Below are 23,313 nucleotides of genomic sequence, written 5' to 3'. Positions count from 1 at the left end.
CACTAGGTAGTCACTGCAAAGGATGGAGTAGCTTGAGCCAGGGGTTCGAGACCAGCATGGGCAACACAGGGAGACCTCAGCTCTACAAAAAAATAAATTAGCTGGGCGTGATGGTGCGTACCTCTAGTTCCAGCTACTTGGGAGGCTGAGGCAGGAGGATCATATGAGCCCAAAAGTTGGAGGCTGCAGTGAGCCAAGATAGTACCACTGCACGCCAGCCTGGGAGACAGTGAGACTGTGTCTCAAAAGCAAAAAAAAACAAAAACAAAAACAAAAAACAAACAAAAAAACCATCAAGTAAATCCATATTGAAATGGAAAGATGCTTACTTTACATCTTGTAGAGTAAAAAAGAAGCAACGTGTACAATATGACTCTTCTATGTAAAGCTGATTGTGTGTCTGTGTGTGTGTGTGTGTGTGTGTGTGTGTGTATAGAGAGAGGTGGCTGGAAGGACATTCATCACAATGTTAACCACGGCTGGCACTGACGGTGGGATTTCAGGTTATTTTGTGCTTTTCTGTCTCATTTCCATTTGTTATAATGAGCATATATAATTTTCAGAGCCCCCAAGCGCTATTTTCATTTAAATGAAAAGAGCAGGCTCTTTCTGTACTTTGCATTCTCTCTTGAGGAAATCATCCACTTCCTCTCCCACCACTTGTAACTGCTGGGATGCTGATAATAGGGCTTCTCTCACAGGCTGCCATGAGGGTGAAATCCACATCTGAAGGCACAGGCCCGGTCTGTTAGCATCTAACATAAGCTGACTGGAAACGCTTTCCTCTAGAAGAGGAAGAGTGGGGCCGGGTGGGGTGGGAAGGGCTGAATCACTGACTCGGTCTCGAAGCTTGCGTCTTAGCATTTAATGACTGAGACCAGGGCCACTGCACTGGGCCACTCCGGGGTCCTATTCAGACTATAGTATACGCAATCCCCAGACATTTGGGGAATGGCACTGTGACTGCACCTGGGTGCCGCAGTGGCTTCCTGTGATGCCAGGCTCAGAGGTGAAGACACCAGCCTGCCTTCTTCACTTAAGTAATGGAGGCAAGGTCAGACGCGGTGGCTCACGCCTGTAATCCCAGCACTTTGGGAGGCTGAGGCGGCAGGATCGCTTGAGTCCAGGAGTTCAAGACCAGCCTGGGCAACACAACGAGACCCCTCCCGCCTCTATAAAAAAGTCAAAAAATTAGCTGAGTGTAGCGGTGCATGCCTGTAGTCCCAGCTACTCGGGAGACTGAGGTGGGAGGAGTGCTTGAGCCTGGGAGTTTGCACGGCTACAGTGGGCCATGACTGCGCCACTGCACTCCAGCCTGGACAACAGAGTGAGATCCTGTTTCAAAAAAAAAAAAAAAGAGTAGTGGAGACTATTCACCTTACCTTATTGACCTTGAGGACGGCGGGGGCTGCGGGGATATCCCAAGATGAGGAAGGTGAAGGACCTGAGGCAGAGTCCAGGGCCTGGTGGAGGCTCAACAAATAGTCGTTTGTTCCCCTGAATGATGAGACATTTTCCAGGTGGACAAGAGGGGAATTAGGTGTGTAGAGACAAAGGAGATAAAGCTGCACATCTGGGTGACGGTAGTGAAGGCAGGATAGAGAAAAGCAGCCTAGTGGCAACTTTTTCACAGGCATGGATTTGTCTACATTAAAATCAGTTTCTTGAAACATCATTTTTGGAAATGCCTTCACAGAATGAAACACAAGTGTATTACTGGTGTACACAACTCCAACATATAGAAAGGTGTCCCCTCCCCATGCCAACCCCTGCCACAAATGGCTGCCAGACTCCCTAGGCGGACACAGCCACCAGCTCACACTGGGATCGGCAATGCGTGCTGCTGCTGGACAACTTTCCAGGAAGCCACTCCAGTGACAGCGGTATTTCAAAATGCTTTTTGCTGTTGCAGTCTCAGCTAGGATCTTGGCCCTCAAGGAATGGATTTGACAATGTGCAACCCTAGACTTGTGGAATAAAATAGACCAGAGGAGGAGGAGAATAGGGTCTTGGAGCATCAGAGATACTATTCTTCTGACATGGGCTTCTAGAAAAACTTAAGATTGTAGCAAAGAATCAGAAATTCTATTGTCAGCAGAGAAGCTCCCTCATTGAAAAAAAAAAATGGGCTGACGATTGCACTTGCTAGATATTAGTAATCAAAGCTAGTGCGTCTATAATATGCTTCCTGTTCTAAGAACCCTGCATACATGGGCTTCTGTAGTCCTCACTCCCATCTTACAGATGAAGAAACTTTGCAGGGTTGACTTGCCCAAGGTCACACATCAGCAGTGAAGCCACTTCAGTGGGGGCAGCAACAACTATTGGTATATGTCCTGGTTTATGCAATGTCTCTCAAATGCCACATCTGATTCCTATGCTTGCCCCGAGAGACACGTGTTTACAAATAGGGAAATGGTAGCTCAAAACGGGGAGGGGCCTTGCTCAAAGCTTCATGGTTAATGAGGAAACCAGGTTTTCAGATTCCAGATCTTGTGCTTTTTTTTTTTTTGGTAAACTCAGGGGTCTGTGAGTTCTTTAGGAGCAGGATTTTCTGTTTTCAATGTGATAATCTTGAAAACAAAAAAGCCAAAACCCCATTGGCAATGAAAATTTGCAATCTGAAAGACGTTTTAGGGGAACAGGCGTTGGTTTTTGAGTTGTCTTTGCAGTACTTTAGGGCCTGCAGAGATGGAAAATGGATAAGCGGTTTGCTTGTTCCCAAATGGGAGGAACAATGAGTTTTACCAGGCCCTTTCATTCGGTGATAATGTATTTTAAAAATCTCATTTTCTCTTCAAATTTATTTCAGTCTGTTTTTGATATGACTTGAATTAAAAAAAGAAAAAAAAAAAAAAACTTCAGGTGATGTAGCCAGAAGTTGAGCTAAAAGCAGAGCTTTCTAGATTGGAGGTGGTTGCTAAGGAGTCCTTCCATTCAGATGGGATCAGCCTGCAGCTGTGATGGTTTCACACTGAGGCCAGCAGAATTGTGCCCAACTGAGCTTTCTTATGAGGTGGCCCCACAGGCCTCGGAGCAGACAGACCAGCCGGACAGTGGAGGTGCCAAGCACCATCCGTGCCGGAACGAGCCCTGGCAGTCACAAGAGAAGCGGAAGCTTCTGGTGGCAGAGGGAGGCGGGAGCTCTGCCACCCGGGGGAAGCTCCCCAACTGCTGCCGTTTTGCACAGGCCACAAGATACGGCAAGGAAGGCCAGGGATGAGCTAGAAAGAGGGATTCTCGTGAATCCTGAGATAAAACCAGGATTCAATAATAGCTGACAGCCATCAGAAAGGTGCAAGTTCCTGTCATTTTGTTTCAAATTCCCTAAATTGTCATCTTTTGAAGTGAACTTTCCACGTGCAGGCCTTTTTACCATTTCACAAAAGCCCTTTTATGTGTGTGGATCCATTTGGGCACCTAGGACAGATGAGAAGGTCGAGGCCCAGAGACTTTGTGCTCCAGGGCTGCGCAGCTGGTTCTGTCTCCAGCAACACAGCTCTGACAACCAGCGGGAGTAGGCTTTATTGTTTTATTTTTATAGGGTAAAAAAGCATAATTGAGAAGTAGCTAAGTCCCTAAACGACACTCATGGAAAGCTGTGGTGGTTCCACAGCCAGCCCATAACAAAGCCACTGCCATTTGCCTCATAGCAGTTTAATGAAATGGCAAACAGCACCCGGGAGGAAATGAACAGTGCCATAGGTTGGAAACTGAAACCTGCACATTTGTGGCAAATGTCACTGCATTTACAGGGAGAGAAAGAAAACCACATGACTCTTCTTTGTATGTTAAAGACTTTTTATTTTCAGGCCCTTTCAGAGGAATCAATTCCTTTAAACCTTTGTAAAATGCCACAGGAGCCAAGGTTAAGCGATGCTTTTAACTTAGGAACTGACCCTCTCCAGGCAGAGTCTCCAAAGTAGATTACCTCGAAATTTCAAAGAGGCAGTTCTACAAGAGGAGCCTTTGAAGAAGCCAATCCTGTTTTCCATTGTTTTGCTTTCACACACGGGTTGAACTTGAACTCTTACCTTTCTCCATTTATAACAACCAAAATCCACCTTAAAAAATCAAAGGCTGGGAGCGGTGGCTCATGCCTGTAATCCCGGCATTTAGGGAGGCCAAGGTGGGTTGATCACCTGAGGTCAGGAGTTCGAGACCAGCCTGACCAATATGGTGAAACCCCCATCTCTACTAAAAATACAAAAATTAGCAGCGGCGGGTGCCTGTAATCCCAGCTACTCAGGAGGCTGAGGCGGGAGAATCGCTTGAACCCGGGAGGCGGAGGATGCAGTGAGATTGCGCCACTGCACTCCAGCCTGGGTGACACAGCGAGACTTTCTCAGAAAAAAAAAAAAAATTGCAAGTAATGGCTTCTGTGGAAGCAAATCTTGATTTAGGGGCACACAACCTGAGACTCCACCCGCTCAGGATAGACAGACAGGAAAGCCAAACGCTCTCTGGGGACCACACTTGGGGCTGCCCACACTGCTCTGTAGTTGCCAAGAGGGTGGGAAGTAGAGATAACAAAGAATGTGGAATGAAGCTCTTTGTCATCGCCGTCTCGGATGGTAGACTCCCGCCTGGGAGAGGCTGCTGGCTGGCTGCTGCCAGGCTCACACCCCCACAACTGCAATTCCTCTTTCCCAGTCACACTGCTATTTATTTCTAAACATCAGCACTGTAATCAGAATGATTTCCATGAAAACAAAAGCTCATTTTCCTAACTTGCGCTCCAATGCGTATGTCGTTAAAGGGCTGAGATTAGAGTCTGGTGGTTTTCCTGTTTCAACCTGACTTTCTGTCCCCAGGGTATATAAATAAACTACTCTTAAGTTTGCTCCTCGAATGACAATCAGTTTTATTGCATGAGTTATGGTGTCCAAATGAGTTAATTTGCTTTTTTCACCGTCTGAGTCAAAATAGGCCACCTGCAGGCCTCATGCAAAATGTAGAAACTGGATAGATGATTTAAGCCTCAAAAACGCAAGTGATTTTTTGGGGTGCACGCAGGAGAGGGCGGATCTGGGGTGTGGTCAGCAGATGACCAGCCGTGGCCTTGAAGGCAGTTTCCAGTCTCTGCAGCTGCGGGATGAGGGTGAAGCCCCCCATTTGCTCTGCTCAGCCTCTCTGTTGAGTATTTAAGAAATCCTGATTCTCCGTGTTCTGCCAGGGAGGATACTGCAGAAGAGTGGACTGGTGTGGCCATTATTTCAGCATCTTCACCATGTACGGGCCTTGTAATCTGTAGCCGATCTTTCTATAATAATTCCTGGTGCCGACCCCTGCAGAAAAATCGAAGTTAAAAAAGGAGCATTCACTTTAGCAATTCTCAAAAGTCGGCATGTGCTTCCCTCAGCCTTACACTCTCTCCCACCCAGAGACCAAATTCTCTCCCACATAAAATCTCAGCTTAATAAGTTTGGAACATTATTACTTTGAATTCAGGCTGCATTAAAATATAGAAACTGCTAAGTGGAGAGAAGAAGACTCTTTCCCTGATTTTTAACTCAAGCTCAGGGTATGTGACACACACACTCACAGGCAACAGCAAACGTGTGCACCCGTGTGTTGGAGCCTGCGTATTCACTACCCTACTGGCAACACCAGGCACCACCTTAGGTGCTACAGGTGAAGGAGAAGAGGTGGATTTACTGTCTGAGCTGCCTATGCTCCAGATGAGGCCAAACGATAGACGGTTTCCCAGAAGTTTTAAAGAGAGAAGAGTGGGGGAAAAAATGGGATCTCCACTCAGCCCCAGTAGCGAAGGTACACTTGTGGCTACTGTCAGAAGTGTTGGAAGTATACAAGGCTTAACAGGAAAAAGTGTTTTCCTCATCAGTTGGTGTCAAAGAAGCAGCTTTGCTGGGATGGCCCTGGCTCATGAAGTGTGGTTTGTGAAGAGAAGTGTAGGTTTTCCATACCAAGCAACTGTCCAGTTCTCTGTTGACACCAACTGGGTGTTCTATAATTTAACTCAATTTGGACCCTACCTACTCTGATGAGCGCAAGGCCCCCCAGTTCTGAGCTCAGTCCAGAGACTGCCCCCAACTTCAGACACCAATTGCAAGCAGAGGGGCTGCAGGTTGCCTACAACTGCTGTCCAAGTTGGCTACAAATGGAGGGTTCCTACAAGCCCCTCCTCAGATTTGATAATTTGTCATAATGGCTCACAGAGCTCAGGGAAACATTTACTTACGTTTACCAGTTTATTACAGGATATGATAAAAGATACAAGTGAACAGCCAGGTGAAAAGGCACACTGGGTGAGGTCTGGGAGGGTCCCGAGCACAGAAGTGTTTGTCCCCACCGCGTTGGGGTGCACCATGCTCCCAGCAAGTGGATGTGTTTGCCAAAATGAAAAGTTCTCTGAACCCCATCTTTTAGGGATTTTTATGGAGTTTCATTGTGTAGGTATGATCAATTACTAACTCCATTTCCAGCCCCCTTCCCTCCCCGGAGGAGGGAGGGTGGGGCTGAAGGTTCAACCCTCTCCTCATGGCTTCATTTTTCTGGTGACAGGTCCCCACCCAGGAGCCCACCAAGAGTCACCAGATTAGAACAAAAGATGCCCCTTGAACCCCTGCAGCTCAGAAAATTACAAGGGTTTTAGGAGCTCTATGTCAGGAACCAGGAACAGAGACCAAATTATATTTTTTATGATGTCTCAACATTCAAGGAACATGAACTAGTTGAAGTTGGTACTAAAGGTCCATTACCCCTGCATATTGGACGCATTCCTCAAACAGCCCGGCTGTCTGTGCCTGGGAGTGAGACAGCTGAGGCTGGGCGGGGAGAGCGATCAGCAGCACCTGCCACAGGCACTCCCTCCGTCCTTCCCTCCCTCTCTGCACGTCCCTGCACTGGGCTTTGGAGAAGTGCATCTCCTGATTCTCCTCTAGCTCGCTGGCTGCCCTTCCTTAGTCTCCTTTGCTGCTTCCTCCTCGTATCCCTAACTGAAATCACTGCAATATGCAGCTCTTCTGTGCACGCGCTTCCTGTGACACTGAGCGTAAACCTATGTATACACTGGCAACCCCTAAATCTGTCACTCAGAGCTCTCCTTGAGCCTCAGATTCGTCCACAGGTGCTGCATGACCCACCTGAATGTCTAAATTGCATGGAAGGTGTAGCAGGTCAAAAACCCAACTCCTGGTAACCTGCCCCGCAAGCTCCCTCCGCAGGAAGCTCCCTCTCTGTAAATGGCCACTCCACTGCCAGTTGTTCAGGGCAACTCATTCCCATCTTTCTGTCAAATTCCAAATCAAGAGACTTGAATAAAATGAAAGAGAAAGGCCTGAGGCTACATGGGGGGGACAGGATTCTAGGGAGCAGGAAAAACAAATGTGAAAGTCCTGAGACGGGCGTGCACTCAACTTACTCAAGGAACAAGGAGGCACCATCATGCAGGTCTCCTAAGGAATCTGGCTTTTATTCTGAGTGAGATGGAAGAATGAGAGGATGCTGGTCAAAGGAGGGACATGATCTGACTGCTGTTTTGAGAACAGAATGAAGGCTCCAGGAGGGCAGGGATTTTGTTTTATTCACTGTAGAGCTGCCAGTACCCAGAGTGATGCCTGTCACATGTGAGGTACACGGTAAATATTTGCTCACTGAATGGATATGTGACCAAGGGCAGAAATAGGGAGATCAGGTAGGAAGCGATGACAATAATCCAGGTGGGAGATGGTGGTGGCTCGGGCTGAGTCACAGTGGTGAAAAGTACCCAGAGCCTGGGCATATGTGGAAGGCAGAGTGAAAAGAATCTGCCAACGGATGTGGGGTGTGACGGGAGCCAAGGCGACTCCAGGGTATTTAGCCTGAGTAAAGGAAGAGTCTGGAGAAACAGGAGCCACCACTGCCTGGGAGTGAGGAGATGGTGGGAAGAGCTTGCAAGAGGAATCAGGAGTGGGGCTCCAGTCAGGCTGCATGTGGAATGGCTGCTAGACATTCATGCCAAGATGCTGAAGACTCTGATTTTGGAAGCTTTTGTTGTTCTTAAAGAGACACAGGGAGTGCTATGGGTTAGGTATTTGTCTCCTCTGAAACTCATGTTGAAACTTAATCCCTATTACTGAGAGGTGGGGCTATGAAGAGGTGACTAGAGTGTGAGGGCTCTGCCCTCATGAAAGGATTAATCTATTCATGGACTAACAGGATAATGAGTTCTAGTGGTTTTACAAGAAGAGGAACAGGGTCCTGAGCTGGCACATGCAGCCCTACCACTGTGTGATGCCATGTGCTATCCTGTGCCACCGCAGGACTCCACAGAAAGTCCCCACCTGCAAGAAGGCCCTCACTAGATCCAGCCCTTTGACCTTGGACTTTTCAGCCTCCAAAACTGTAATAAATAAATTCCCTTTCAGGTATCCTGTTATAAGCAATCGAAAATGGACTTAGGGACGGTCTCTTTTCTTGGATGTTGCTTTGCAAGGTAATTTCGGACGGGGGCAGTTGTCTTCCAAGGGGCTGAAGTGGTGATGAAGAGTGAGAAGGCAGAGCCACCTGGCTCCTTTTTGAAATTGCCGAACCCTGAATTAATCAGTCCCAAAGCTTCTCTATATATTTCTTATGAAATATTTTCCATTTGGTTTAAGCCATTTTGAGGATATTTTTGCTTTTAAGTATACAGCTCGGTGTTGCTAAATACATTCACACTGTGGTACAACTATCACCACCATCCATCTCCAGAACTCTTTATCTTGTAAAGCTGAAACTCTGTACCCACTAAACACCAACCCTACTTGCTCCCCCTCTCCCAGCCCCTGACAACCCCCGTTCTACTTTCTGTCTCCATGAATTTGACTCCTGTAGATACCACATGTAAGTGGAATCATGTAATATTTGTCCTTTTATAACTGGCTTATTTCACTTAGCACAATGTCTTCAAGGTTCATCCATGTTGGGTATAAGTCACTGAGCTGAGTTTTCTGTTACTTGTTAACTAAAAGTATCATAACTGACAAGGAAGCTTGAGGACAGGAAGAGAAAAACAAATGAGGTCAAGCCACTATTTAAAATCAGAATTCGGAGTAATTCTGAACACACTGCTCTCCTGCTTAGAATCACTAATGATGTGTCCCAAGATAAAGTTCAAATTCCTTAGCCTGATCCACAAAGTCTTTCCTGCCCAGACCCTTCAACTTTAGTTCCTGGCACAGTTGACTAGGTCCAGGATCAGCAAACCAGCCCAGCATCACCACGCGGGCTCAGCCACTGCCTCTGGGCGCTTCCCTCAGCAGCCGCCCATTCTGTCTGCTAAGGCCCTCCCAGCCACCCTCCCACTCATCCCCCACCAGGAGACCTGTGCAGATACTTCCCCTATCTACAAAGAAGCCAGAATTCACAGCACTCTCTCTCCAGGCTGGCTGTGTGCCTTAATTAGAGTTCCACTGTTTTAGTAATCACACTGCGCAGGTCTGTCTCCCTCCCTAGGATGTCAGCTCTTTAAAGTCAATGGCTTCTATCATCAGTGTCTGGCATATAATCAAGATGCAATAAATGTTTGCAGATCTCTCATATGCTGTTCAGCTATTCTTATGTTGTGTATATACAAAGAAATGTGTTCCTGGAGGATGTATTTGAAAAAAAAATTGGCTCTATGTTGGGTGTTGGGTAATGGAATGATTCAATGTACAAGAGCTGAAGGGCAGGATGACTTCTTAACCTAGGTACAAATTTCCTACCTTGTTAGCTGAGAGATTAAGAGGCAGCTTCCTGACTTATATTATTATCTCTATCTAACAAAAACTGCCCCAAATCTTTCAGAAATACTTCTGGCTTTTTATGTTTCTATTTTACTTTTACAAAACAGATACTGTTTTCCATGGACTTAAAACAATGTATCTTGGAGAATGTCAAACACACAAAAGTGCAGAAGACAGTGCACTGAACCTCCCTGCACCCATCACTCAGCTTTAGCAGGGACAATTCACCCAGGAGATCTCTCTCTTTTTTTTTTTTTTGAGATGGAGTTTTGCTCTTGTCACCCAGGCTGGAGTGCAATGGCATGGTCTTGGCTCACTGCAACCTCCGCCTTCCACCCAGGAGACTTCTGAGTTTCGAGCTTTCTACTCACGTGAACTTAGAAAACATCTCTAACATTTCCTTTTGGTTCTGCTCAGCTCAGTTCCTGGAGACATGTTTAGTTTTGCTCTTTTATATGTCCTCTGTCAAATGAAAATGATGGCCTAATTTTAAGATGGAAGATGTGTAATTGTTGGTCAAAGTGCTTTACTTCCAAAAATATGCATCAACCTATATTTGTCTACCATAAATGGCTGCAGAGGTGAGAGAGAAGAGTTCCTTACATCTAACACAGGACTGGACAGTCCTTGGATAACCAGAAAGTTCAACAATCAAGAGTGCCCTGATTTCTTAAGCATGCTGGTTAAAAGAGCTGCTTTACTGGGGTACATCTAAGCATTTCTCATCATGATTCCCACGGAGCTACAGGCTCCTTGGGCCTTCTACTTTTTCCTTTCTACAGGGGGTGTGCCCTAGAAACGATTACCACCTTGGGCAGGGGCACTCAGGCCTCACGATGGGCCTTTTGGAGGAAAGCTGTATATTGAAGTTCTTGTCCTTATTTTCAATAAGACGCAGCAGGCCTGAGATGGCGAGCTCAGCCCTGAGATGGAACACTGTCTCCAGGTCCTCTGAGAAGTGCTGGCATCCAGGGAAGGGAACTTCACCTCTAGTCAGTCTGGACTCTAACCTCTGCTCACCTAAAGAGCTAAATTTCTTTCTGCCTCTTGTTTTTTGAAAGAAAAATTTCCTCCTGTTTCTACAACCTGCAGAACAGGTTGGGAAAGGCATTACCCCTGCACTTAGCCACCAAGGCTGGGTGAGGGCCTTGCTCTGCTCTGATCCCCTCTCCATGCTCAGCAGGGCTCCCAGAAAGTCCTCTGTCATAGTAACTTTCCTTTTGTTAGCCAGCCAAGAAAAAGCAATCATCCTTCAGAGCTGACGTCAGCCACCCTCCTGGACTGACATGCAGGCTGCCTGGACCGTCTCCGAGCCCTCAGCCTAACTGCTCTGCCTCCGCCAGAGGAGAGGCGCCCACAGGCTGTACAAGGAACCAAGTGCTCCACCCGATGGCCTGCGTGGGGTTCTGCCAAATCCCTGGGATGGGGAATGTGCAGGAACTCACTCCATGCAGCGGCCTCAGGGTGCCCTGCTACAGAGCCAGCATTAAGAACGGCAGGAGTGGGGAGAGTCCAAACGCAGGCTTTGTTTTGTAGCACTTTGGGAGGCTGAGGAGGGTAGATCACCTGAGCTCAGGAGTTCGAGACCAGCCTGGGCAACATGGCAAAACCCTGTCTCTACTAAAAATGCAAAAAGTTAGCTGGGTGTGGTGGTGAGTGCCTGTAATCCCAGCTACTCGTGAGGCTGAGGGGTGAGAATTGCTTGAACCCAGGAGGCAGAGGTTGCAGTGAGCTGAGATCGTGCCACTGCACTCCAGCCTGGGGGACACAGCGAGACTCTCTCAAGAAAGAATGGCAGGAGTTGGGGGAGTCCAAACACTGGCTTTGTTTTATCCTCCCAAGTTCACTCATCTACACCCTGAGCTTTCCTACATGACCTTTTCCCTACTCTGTAGGCAGGATAAATATTTTATCTTCCCCATTCAACCAGCAATGATGATGAGTTAGGTGAAAAAAGAATACCTTGCAAAGTGCCTAGAGTGAACAGCTTCTGTGGTGGCCTCCCCTCTGCCTCTGCCCCAGGACATCCACCCCTTTGGGGAGAAGAAAACAAGCCTGTTTATTTGTACACGAGCTTTACTATATGTAAGTTATTAAAATGACTTCCACTGCACACACTTTAGATCAATTATAGATAGACCCATGGAAAGGGGTTACATTAAAGGCAGAGGACACTGCTTGCTCTGGGATGGGCCGAGAGGAGTAGAGTTATTCAGCACTCAGTGGGAAAGCCCCCTTCCCAAGGATGACCTCTGGCTACTGCTCCAAGGCTGGCTGCCAAGAGCCCCTGGCCTCCCTGTGAATCTCCAACCCGGAGGAGACCCAGGGGTACAGCATCTCTCTGATCCTTTTCTGAACCAAATGTCCTCAAGCCCCTCATGATGAGAAAGAAATCCTCTGCTTTGATTCCATGTCCCTCTCCAAAAGATACGCACCACGTGGCTTAATCTGCTAACTCAAAGGATTCGGGAAAGGGGGAAAATCACAGGCAATGCATATGCCGGAGCCTGGGCCTCTGGCTGCAGGAGCACGCTCATCCTGGGCTGCTCAATGCTCTTTAGTAAAAATGGGAAATCAAATCACACAACCTTAGACTAACCAAAGGCCAAAAAAAAGGGGGGGTGGGTGGAGAACAAACCCAGATGTGGTTTTTTTGTTTGTTTTTGAGACGAAGTCTCTCTCTTGTCACCCAGGCTGGAGTGCAATGGCGTGATCTCGGCTCACTGCAACCTCTGCCGCCCAGCTTCAAACGATTCTCCTGCCTCAGCCTCCAGAGTACCTGGGATTACAGGTGCATGCCACCACACCCAGCTAATTTTTTGTATTTTTAGTGGAGACAGGGTTTCAACATGTTGGCCAGGCTGGTCTCGAACTCCTGACCTCAGGCAATCCATGTGCCTCAGCCTCCCAACGTGCTGGGATTACAGGTGTAGCCACTGTGCCCGGCCGCAAACCTAGATGTTTACTTAAATTCTGCTGTGATTCTATTTTAGAGAGAAATTGTAGGGGAAAGAGTGGGGAGATAGAGTAAGCCAGTCTGTGTGGTACCTGAGTTCACTGAAAACCAACTCTTTGTTCCTCCAAGTTACTGCAGCCTTCTGTTCTAAGGGGATAAATGCAATACCAGAGTAAAGCCTTTGGACACTAAAAATAAGTATACCTTTCCTCTAAAAGGGAAAATAAATCACAAATCAAGAGCAGGAAATGAACCTAAGTGCTACCTAGCTTGTGATTCTAACTCCATCTCAAAACAAACAAACAAACAAAGAAAACCACTTGATAGCTAAGTGACTATAAAGTTAGAGGGAGATTTAAATACCTGCCAGGCACTGGATTGCTAAAGCCTCTCCATGCACTAATTTATTTAAAATGTAACAAGATTGCAATTATTGTCCTAGGAGAAAGATGAGTTTCAGAATGGGTCATAACTCAAGGCCACACTATAGGGAAGCAGAACAGTAACTGAGACCCAGCCTGCCTGACCCCATGGCCCAGAGCGTTTCTAATGCGCCTGGCACCTATGTGATGGGGTAGGCCCACTCAACTCCCCTGACTCTGGTCTTGCACCTCTAGTCTTCGTGGGAAAGCACATCCCTTCTTTTCTGGTAAAGAAAGAACTTGCCATTTGTCTTGATCACCTCACCTCCTGTATCTGTGTCCAGTTTTTCAATGTCCTTTGATAACTCATTAGATGAAACAAACATGGTGGCTATTTCCATTGTTAACAATATGGCTTAGTAAGAAACTGAAGAATAAATCACAGAAAAGGGTCTGATAACAGGCAATAATAAACTTTGTAAACAGATTCAGCTTACAAATGTGAGAATGGGAAGGGGGATACTTTTCAGTAACAACTTGATAAATTGCAGTCACCATTTCTAAAATGACAAGCACTACAATACAGAGTTTGGAGGAAAACAACAAAGAAGGTTCAATGATGGAAGCTAGAGGCAGGGCAGAAGAGTCGTGAGTATTTAAGCTTAGTGAACAGATGACTTCAGGCTTGATTATGGCAGACAAAATTAAGAATAACGCTCCAGCCAAAGACAATGAAAATATTAGACAAAATTGAAAATGTTTCTGCTAGGAAAGTATCAGAGACTGTTAAGAGCTCTTAGTTGTCAGGCCAATAATAAGGAGAAAATGTGAGCTTCCAGAGGGGAGTAGAAGTGTTTGATCTAGGAAGGGCACGTGAGATACTGGGGGCGTGGGGGCAGTGTCTTGCGGCCACCAGAAGCAGAGAAGCAGTCATAACACTCCCCCAGTGCCCTGCTGTTTAGGAGGTGTGGAAGCAACTGAGAGGCAGAGTTGCTTCCGTACCTTGAGGAGGCTCAAGGAGATGCAACATGGGTCTGAATTCAGAGCCTGGCACAGACAGGGACCCAAGCATAGCACCCCCTCTTCTGGATTGTATTCTGAAAGGCTCTGAATTGGGAGGAGGGATTGGTGTGGTGGGGATAGGAATCTTCTAGATAAACCACAGCCTTGGTCCTAGACAACTACGACTCTGAGATGCCTGGCTAAAGGAAACAGGTCTTCCTTGGAGGAAGCTAGCATCACCTAGGTCTTGAAGTATTCCTGAAAGCAAATTCTCATATAAAATGCTCAGCAAATGATAAAAAATGATGAGGTACACTTTAAGACAGGACATGACAAGAAACAGCAGAGACTCCAGATGTGACATCACGTGACACAGACTGCAAACAGGTATGCTTACTATGTTCAATGTCTGAAAACAACTGGAAACATTAAAAGATGACATTACAGAATGGAAAAAGATACCAGAAATTTAGGAAATGTTAAAGTGTGGGACCAATGCATCAATGGATGGGTCTAGCAGATCAGACACAGCTAAATTAGTAACCTGAAAGATTAAGTCAGAAGAAATTATGGACAACAAAGCAACGTTGGTGGGGAAGAGGGTATTAGACACAGTGGATACAATAAATATGTCTAAAATATGTTTAACTGGAGTCACAGGAAGAGAGGTGAGGGAGAATGGGATAGAGTCAATATGCATGTGTTAGAGGCTGCAAATCACACAGAACTGATTTTAAAAACCAGTTCACTGATTAAAGAAGCCCAAGGAAGCCCAAACGGGAAATCCATACCTAGAACCTAGAAATATCCTAGTAAAACTAGAGAAAAACCAAGACAGTCTGAAAGAATAAAAATAATATATTTTCTAAAAAACCACAGAAGTAGCCTGAGGGAATATCCTCAAAGACAGACAGCTGATTTCTTACCTGCAACATTAAAAGCCAGGAAATAAGGGGAAGATAGATACAATGTACTGAAAGAAAATACCTGCAAACCCAGAATACTATACCTAGTGAAGACAAGACAAGGGTCCCCAACCCCCAGGCCACACAGCATTTACAGCCACTCCCCATTGCTCACATTACTGCCTGAGGAGCAGTAACCACCTCCTGTCAGGTCAGCAGTGGCATTAGATTCTCAAAGGAGCACAAATCCTATTGTGAACTACGCATGCAAGGGACCTAGGTTGTGTGCTCCTTATAAGAATCTAATGCCTGATGATCTGTCACTGCCTCCCATCATCCCCAGATGGGACTGCTGAGTTGCAGGAAAATAAGCTTGGAGCTCCCACTGATTCATATAATTATTTCATTATATATTACAATGTAATAATAGGAATAAAGTGCACAATAAATGTAACGCACTTGAATCCTGAAACCATCACCCCAACCCCCTTACTATCTGTGGAAAAATTGTCTTCCACAAAACCAGTCCCTGGTGCCAAAAAGGTTGGGGACCACTGCTTTAATAATAATGCAAAGTAAAGACATTTGTATACAACCAAAACTGGAACAACTTGCTACCAACTAAAGGTATAAAGAAAACAATGTGTGCAAACTACCGAAATATCCATCAACAGTAAAACAGATAAACTGTAGTACATCATGGAGTCCTACATGTCAATGAAAATGAAGAAAATACTTTGAAGATATAGCAAAGATAGAAGAGCAAAGAAGTGGTAAATATACAGTTGCCCTTGTTATATGTGGGGGGCTGGTTCCAGGACCACCCTTATATACCAAAATCTGCACACACTCAAGTGTTGCAGTTGGCCCTGCAGAAGCTGCGTCTATGAAAAGTCAGCCTTCTGTATACGCAGGTTTCACAACCCACAAACACTGTTTTCAATCTGTGTGTGGTTGAAAGAAATCCGAGTATAAGTGGACCTGTGTTGTTTAAGGGTCAATTTTATCAGTAAATCTAAATGAATACTAACTGTACATAATAATGATATCTTGTGGATTTTAGAAAAACTCACACACACATGTGCACACAGCAACTTCAGAAAGAGGATCTCCAAATGGCCAGTAAACACATGAAAAGGTAGTCAAAATCATCAGTTATCAGGGAACGCAAATTAAAACCACAAAGAAATGCCACTCATATTCATCAGAATGGAACAACTAAAACTCATACATTTCCTGTAGTAGTGAAAAATTGTAGAAGCACTTTAGAAAGCCACTTGGCAGAATCCTCAGCTAAATCTATGTACTCTCTACAACCCAGCAATTGCACTCTTAGGTGTACATTCTACAGAAATATGTCCTTATGTGTCCCAAAATACATACACAAGAATATTCATAACTCTAACCTGGAAACCCAGCAAGAGTTAAGACGGATAAATCGTGAACTATCAGCATAATGGAATCCCATATATCAATGAAAAGGAATGAAATACAGCTACTACAACGTTGACTCAATCTTACAGCAATGTTGAGCAAAAGTAACCAGAACAAAAATATGCAACAACAAAACTAGACCATGTAGTTAAGGGATACATACTTACGAAGAAAATACCAAAAAAGTTAGGATACTGGGAAGGAAGAGGGAAGGGCCAACAGAGGCACTTCTTGGATGCTGGTTATTGACATAAGTGGGGGTTAGAGAGTGCGATGGTCCGAATGTGTATCCCCCACAAAATTCGTATGTTGAAACTTAATCCCCAATGCAATAGTATTAAGAGGTAAGGTCTTTGGGTGACAATTAGGTCACGAGGCCTCTAGAACTATGAGAAATTTCTCATTTATAAATTACCCAGTTTTGTTATAGCAGCCTGAGTGAGCTAAGACATACAGGTGTTATTTAACATTTTATAAACTCTGCTATTTGTTACAGCTTCCAGTAAACTTTTAAAATGAAAAAGAAGGCAAGATTAAATAATCTCAACTATGTGACTGCTTAAATGGGGAATGAAATCAATTCTTCACATCTATGGAAAAACAAGTGAGCCAGGGTTGTGATTCCAACTGGATAAAGAATGAACGTGGAATTATTAATGTGATGTAACAGAGGAAGAAATAAGTTTAATTGATCAAGTATTTGCTCAGTATGTACTAGGAGCCTGGAAATTGAAGAGTTTTATCTCTTGGAATTCCTTAAGAAAAACCTTGGCTTAATAATTTAAATGTTTTCATGTCTGAAGCAGGAAAATGAATTAGCTATTACAGGTGCATTCTTGTTCTTTGATGCTTACTTGTTAGGACATAGGCCACCCTTCACTGCTAGTAATGTGTTCTTAGACAGAATTAAAATTGAGCCCACATCACATTCTCACAGCCAAACTTGTAAATCTATCCTTTAAAGCTCAAATTTCTGTTTTGATTAGATGCAAAACATTCAGATGATTTATGATTGTTTAATTAAAAGAAATCAGTGAAATAAAAACAAATTAAACTGTTTTAATTGCTTTTGGGTTCAATTAATCAACTATTGCCTACTTGATGTATCTACCAACATTAACACAAGGAAATATATTCATTAGTTTCATTCACTTGCTATTGAAATGAGACTTTATTATTTCTCATTGATCTCCTGCCAGGATGGCGATATTTTACTCTTCAACAATGTACACTGATATCAAAGTTGGGAAAAGGTTTCTATCCTGAATGTTTGAAAATGAACCAATTAACTACACGACCCTAAACCTTTCAGAATTTTTTCCCCATTCTATTAAAAAAAAAATCATACAAAGGTTACCCATGTATAATCTTAGTTCTTCAAACTGGTTATTGCAACTAACACAGTATACATTATTCTCCATCACTGTGGAAATACAGAGTACCTCAAGAGAGTCTCCTACCCAGCAGCCTAAAGGTTCTTCTACACATTTTGAAAAGGCTACCAAGATAAGAACAAAGAATAAAATTAGGTAATTTACAAAGGAGGTATACAGAATCTAAATAGATACTACCATGGTAACTTACAGTTGGGTGATGCTGGTGGGTTATCTTACAGCTCTTAGAGAGTTTTTTTCTTTCAGGGAGTCTGGCCTATGATGTGACATAGGATGGCCCACAATCAACTGATTCAAAAATAGAGGGTCTCTGTTTCTATCAGTGCAGGATGTTTGCTATGTCACACATCATTCTCACTTCTTTACTCATGTCAAAAATCATTAGTGTGTCTCTGCAGAAGTTAGACTGTACCATCTTATAACCTGGTAGGAAGAGGGACCCCTTCTATTTATAGTCTCTTTAAATACAGACTTCAAGAGGGAAAATGGCAAGGTAGGAATTTTCAGAGATTCATCCTTCTGCTAAAACGACGATTACGCTGGAAAAAAAATAATTGCAACCAACTATTTTGGAATGCTGGAACTTGGTAAGATACTTACAGTGACTAGGGGAGTGTCTGATGAGGGAGAGGCTGTAAAACTTCACTCAGGGAACAGCATGCTTAAGCCACCAACCATCCCCCATTCCTTAGCTCCACCGTAGCCACAGGAATGGTAACTTATTTTCCTGGAGCAGCTGGCTGGAACTGGAGTGGGCAATAAGGACCTAGTCCTCCAAAAATATAGGGCTGTGTATTATGTTCACTTTGGAGGTTCCTGGAAGGACCAGTGCAGACACTTGTCTTTGTTTTGACCCCATCTCACTTCCTTCGTGGAGTGTATCAAAAGATTTGAAGAGATACACATCCTTTTTTCTTTTTTTGAACCAGACATTTAAGAAAAATCCCTCTCAGGTCACAGGCTGATCATAGAGATAAGAACAGAAATTTCAGTGACTACACACACAATGAAGAACACTCAGACTTTGCAAAAATAGTTTGGAAAAGTCACTAGACAGGGCCGGGTGCAGTGGCTCATGCCTGTAATCCTAGCACTTTGGGAGGCCAAGGCAGGTGGATCACTTGAGGTCAGGAGTTCGAGACTAGCTTGGCCAACAAGGTGAAACCCCGTCTCTAATAAAAATACAAAAAAATTAGCCAGGCCTGGTGGCACATGCCTGTAATCCCAGCTACTAGGGAGGCTGAGGCAGGAGAATAGCTTGAAACCGCGAGGCGGAGGTTGCAGTGAGCCGAGATCATGCCACTGTACTCCAGCTTGGGTAACAGAGCAAGACTGACTCCCCAAAAAAAAAAAAAAAAAAAAAGTCACTAGACAAATGCATGATTACAGACCTCAAAAGCAACTCCTCAGAAAGAGAAGAATGATTTCCAGAGTTACCACATTATACTAATTGTGTAGTTCTCAGTAGTTCAATATAAAATTGTAAAGCATACAAAGAACAGGGAAGAATGGCTCATTCACAGGAAAAAAGAATTCAACAGAAATTATTCCTGAGGAAATCCAGACACTGGGATTACTACTCAAAGACATTAAATCAACTGTATTAAATATGCCTAAGGAGTTACAAGAAACCATGGACAAAGAAAGGATATCAAGGGGATACTATCAAAAAGGAATGTCAATAGACAGGAATTATATTAAAAAATAGAAATTCTGGCACAGAGATGTATGATAGTAAAAATAAAAAATTCACTAGAGGTGTTCAATGGCAGTTAAGAGGAGGCAGCAGACAGAATCAGTGGACTTTAAGATAATGCAACTGAATTTATCTAGTCTGAGGAGCAGAAAGAAAAAATGTAGAAAAATAAAAGACGTGGGGGATACCATCAAGCATACCAATATATGCATTGCTGGAGTTTCAGAGGGAGATGAGAGACATAAAGGGTAGAAAAAAATGTTTAAAGAAATGGCTGAATACTTCCCAAATTTGTTGAAAGACATGAATCTATACATTCAAGAAGCTCAGCAAATTCCAAGCAGGATAGCCTCAAAGAGATCCACAATGATCACAATATGAGTCAAACTGTTGAAAACCTGAGAGAATCTTGAAAGCAGCAAGAGGCAAAATGAGTCATCACATAGAAGGAATCCTCAATTAGACTAACAACTGATATTAGAAACTATGGAGGTCAGAAGGCAATGGGATGGCACATTTAAAGTGCTGGCTGAAAGAAAAAAGTAAATCTGCCAATCAAGAATTCTATATCCAACAAAACTATCCTTCAAGGATAAAAGAGAAATTAGGACATTTCCAGATTAAGAAAAGCTAAAGAAGCTTATTACTACTAAACCTGCCCTATAAGAAATGCTAAAGGAAGTCATTCAACCTGAATTGAAAGAATAGGCAGTAACTTGGAACCATATGAAGAAATAAAGAATATTAATAAAGATAATTACATAAGTAAACATAAAAGCTAGTATTATTGCACTTTTGGTTTGTAACTCCTCTTTTCTTCCTATATTATTTAAAAGGCAAATTCATTAAACAATAATTTTAAGTCTAGGTTAATGGATACACAGGTAAAAAGATGTAATCTGTGACAATAACAATACAGAGGGGGAGGGACAGAGATGTATAGGAGCAGAGTGTTTGCATACTATTAAAACTCACTTGGTATTATTCAAACTGACTGGAGGCTTAAAATGTTAATTATGATCCCCAAGGTAACCACTAAGAAAACAACTAATAACCAAAAGAGTCATAGAGTGATTATATTATCAGACAAAACAAATTTTAAGTCAAAACAGGTTACAAGAGACAGAAGACCATTATATGGTGATAAATGTTCAATGATCAGGAAGATTTATACAATTATCAACATATATGCACCTAACAACAGAGCCCCAAAATATATGAAGCAAAACTTGACAGGACTTAAGGGAGAAATAAATAGTTCTACATTAAGACTTGGATACTTCAATATCCACTTTCAACAATTAATAAAAAAATTAAGACAAAAGATCAATAAGGAAAGGGAGAACTAGAACAACACTTTAAACCACTTAAATCTAACAGACATATATAGAACATGCTACCACTAATAGCAGAATGTACATTTTCCATAAGTGCACACAGAACATTTTCCGGGATAGATCATATGTCAGGTCAGGAAAACATGTCTTAATAAATTTAAAAAGACTGAAATTATATAAAATGCCTTTTCTGATCACAAAGAAATGAAACTAGAATAACAGATGGAAACTGGAAAACTCATAAGTATGCAGAAATTAACACATTCTTAAACAACCAATGGGCTAAAGAAGAAATCACAAGGAAAATTGGAAAACACCTTCAGCAAATGAAAGACAAAATGCAACATTCCAAACTTATAGGATGCAGCAAAAACAGTGCTCAGAGGGAAACTTATAGCTGTAAATGCTCACATGAAAAAAGCAGATACATATGATCACATTTGGGATTTTAAAAGCAGATATATCTGAAATCAATAACCTACTCTACACCTTAAGGAACTAGAAAAAAAAAGAGCAAACAAAACCCAAAGCTAGCAGAAGGAAGAAAATAATAGATTAGAGTGAAGATAGAGAATTAAAAAAAAAAATCAAAATCAAAAGTTCATTCTTTGAAAAGATCAACTAGCAATGTTTACCTTAGATTGGGTTAAAAAAGAGAAGACTCAAATCACAAAAACAGAAATAAAAGAGGGGGCATAACTACTTACTGTACAGAAATAAGAATTCTATAAGAAAATACTATGAACAACTGTACGCCAACATGTTAGATAACCTAGATGAAACAAATTTCTAGAAACATAAAAACTGACTCATAAACAAAGTCTACATAAATACATAACAAGAAACTGAATCAGTAATAAAAAATGTCCCAATAAGAAAAAGCCCAAAATCAGACGACTTTACTAGTAAATTCTACCAAACAATTGAAGAATTAATACCAATCCTTCTCAAATACTTGCAAAAAACTGAAGAGGATGGACACTTTATAATTCATTTAATAAAGCCAGCATTACTCTGTTATCAAAGCCAGATAAAGACACTACAAAGAAAACTATAGACCATCATCCCCTTAAGAATACAGACGCCAAACTCCTCAACAAAATACCAGCAAACTGAATTTACCAGCATATTAAAAGGATTATATACCACAACCAAGTGGGATTTATCCCTGGAATGCAAGGATAGTTCAACACACAAAAATCAATGTAATAAACCAAAACAGAATTAAGTGGGAAAAAAAATCATACAATCAGCTCAAATGCAGAAAAAGCATTTGACAAAACTCACAACCCATTCATGATAAAAACACCCAATACATTAGCATAGAAGGGAACTTCCTTAACATTGTAAAGGCCATATGTGAAAAACTCACAGATAATAATATCATGCTCAATTGTGAAAAACAGAAACCTCTCCCCCTAAGATCAGAAGCCAGATAAGGTTGCCCATTTTCACCACAGTACTTAAAGGTTCTAGCCAGAGGAATTAGGCAAGAATAAGAAATGAAAGGCACCCAAATTGGATAGGAATAAGTAAAACTATCTCTATTCAAGATGACATGACCTTATATGTAGGCAATGCTAAAGAATCCACACACATACAATATTATTGGAGCTAATAAACAAATCTAGCAAAGTTGCATAATACAAAATCAATATGGAAGAAAAATCAGTTTTATTTCTATATGCTTACAATGAACAATTCAAAAACAAAATTTTAAAAATCTCACAATAGCATCAAAAGAATAAAATATCTCGGAATAAATTTAAGCAAAGAGGTGCAAGACTGGCACACTGAAAACTACAAAACTTTGCTAAAAGAAATTAAAGAAGACTAAATAAATGGAAGGATATCCTGTGTTCATGGCCTGGAAGACTTAACATTGTTAAGATGATGATACCACCCAAAGCCATATAAAGATTCAATGCAATCCCTATCAAAATCCCAATAGTGGCTTTTGCTGAAATAAAAACAGCCATGTGAAAAATCATATGGAATTTGAAGGAACCCGGGATCGCCAAAAACAATCTTGAAAAAGAAGCACAAAGTTGGAGACTCATACTTCCCAATTACTACAAAGCTACAGTGATTAAAACAGCATAGTACTGATGTAAAGATGGACATATAGGCCAGCAAAATAGAACTGAGAGCCCAGAAATAAACTTTCACTTTTCTTTTCGACTGATTTCTGACAAGGGTGTCAAGAGCATTCAATGGGAAAAGAAAAGTCTCTCTCACAAGTGGTGCTAGAAAAACTGGATATCCACATGCAAAATAATTAAATTAGACTCTTACCTTATATCATATACAAAAATGAACTCAAAATAGGTCAAAGATCTAAATTTGAGAGCTATAACTTTATATAAAGCCCTTAGAAGAAAACAGAGAGGAAAATCTTTATGTCCTTCACCTTGGCAATGGTTTCTTAAATATAATACCAAAGACACAAATAACAAAAGACAGATAAACTGGACTTCATTAAAATTACAAACTTTTGTGCATCAAAGGAAAGTATCA

At 42.6% G+C, this 23,313-nt stretch overlaps 1 protein-coding gene and 1 long non-coding RNA gene across 8 annotated transcripts in view, besides 2 other annotated features; one reads left to right on the top strand and one right to left on the bottom strand.

Moving 5' to 3' along the window:
- Positions 2,581-3,333: an enhancer, noted in NCBI's record as "H3K27ac-H3K4me1 hESC enhancer chr8:28049121-28049873 (GRCh37/hg19 assembly coordinates)". NCBI's record gives its function as "activates a minimal SCP1, AML or CMV promoter by ChIP-STARR-seq in naive H9 embryonic stem cells {active_cell/tissue: H9 hESC(naive)}" and the evidence as "EXISTENCE:reporter gene assay evidence [ECO:0000049][PMID:30033119]".
- ELP3 (elongator acetyltransferase complex subunit 3) overlaps positions 3,784-23,313 on the bottom strand; it is a 100,922-nt gene continuing 81,392 nt past the window's right edge. For all 7 annotated transcript variants that reach the window (XM_024447184.2, NM_001284222.2, NM_018091.6 and 4 more), the window contains one exon: positions 3,784-5,288. In XM_024447184.2, the coding sequence (XP_024302952.1) occupies positions 5,212-5,288 (77 nt within the window). In that variant the 3' untranslated portion in view covers positions 3,784-5,211. The remainder of the gene's footprint in view (positions 5,289-23,313) is intronic.
- Positions 9,199-9,701: an enhancer, noted in NCBI's record as "H3K4me1 hESC enhancer chr8:28042753-28043255 (GRCh37/hg19 assembly coordinates)". NCBI's record gives its function as "activates a minimal SCP1, AML or CMV promoter by ChIP-STARR-seq in naive H9 embryonic stem cells {active_cell/tissue: H9 hESC(naive)}" and the evidence as "EXISTENCE:reporter gene assay evidence [ECO:0000049][PMID:30033119]".
- Positions 12,404-21,668, top strand: LOC105379343 (uncharacterized). Its single transcript, XR_949614.3, has 2 exons — positions 12,404-12,501; positions 16,866-21,668. It is a non-coding gene; the product is annotated as an uncharacterized LOC105379343 (long non-coding RNA).

This window comes from Homo sapiens, chromosome 8 (genome assembly GCF_000001405.40).
Source record: "Homo sapiens chromosome 8, GRCh38.p14 Primary Assembly".
Classification (NCBI taxonomy): Eukaryota; Metazoa; Chordata; class Mammalia; order Primates; family Hominidae; genus Homo; species Homo sapiens.
The sequence above is the reverse complement of the archived record's forward strand: the minus strand, read 5'-3'. Positions and strand labels throughout refer to the sequence as shown.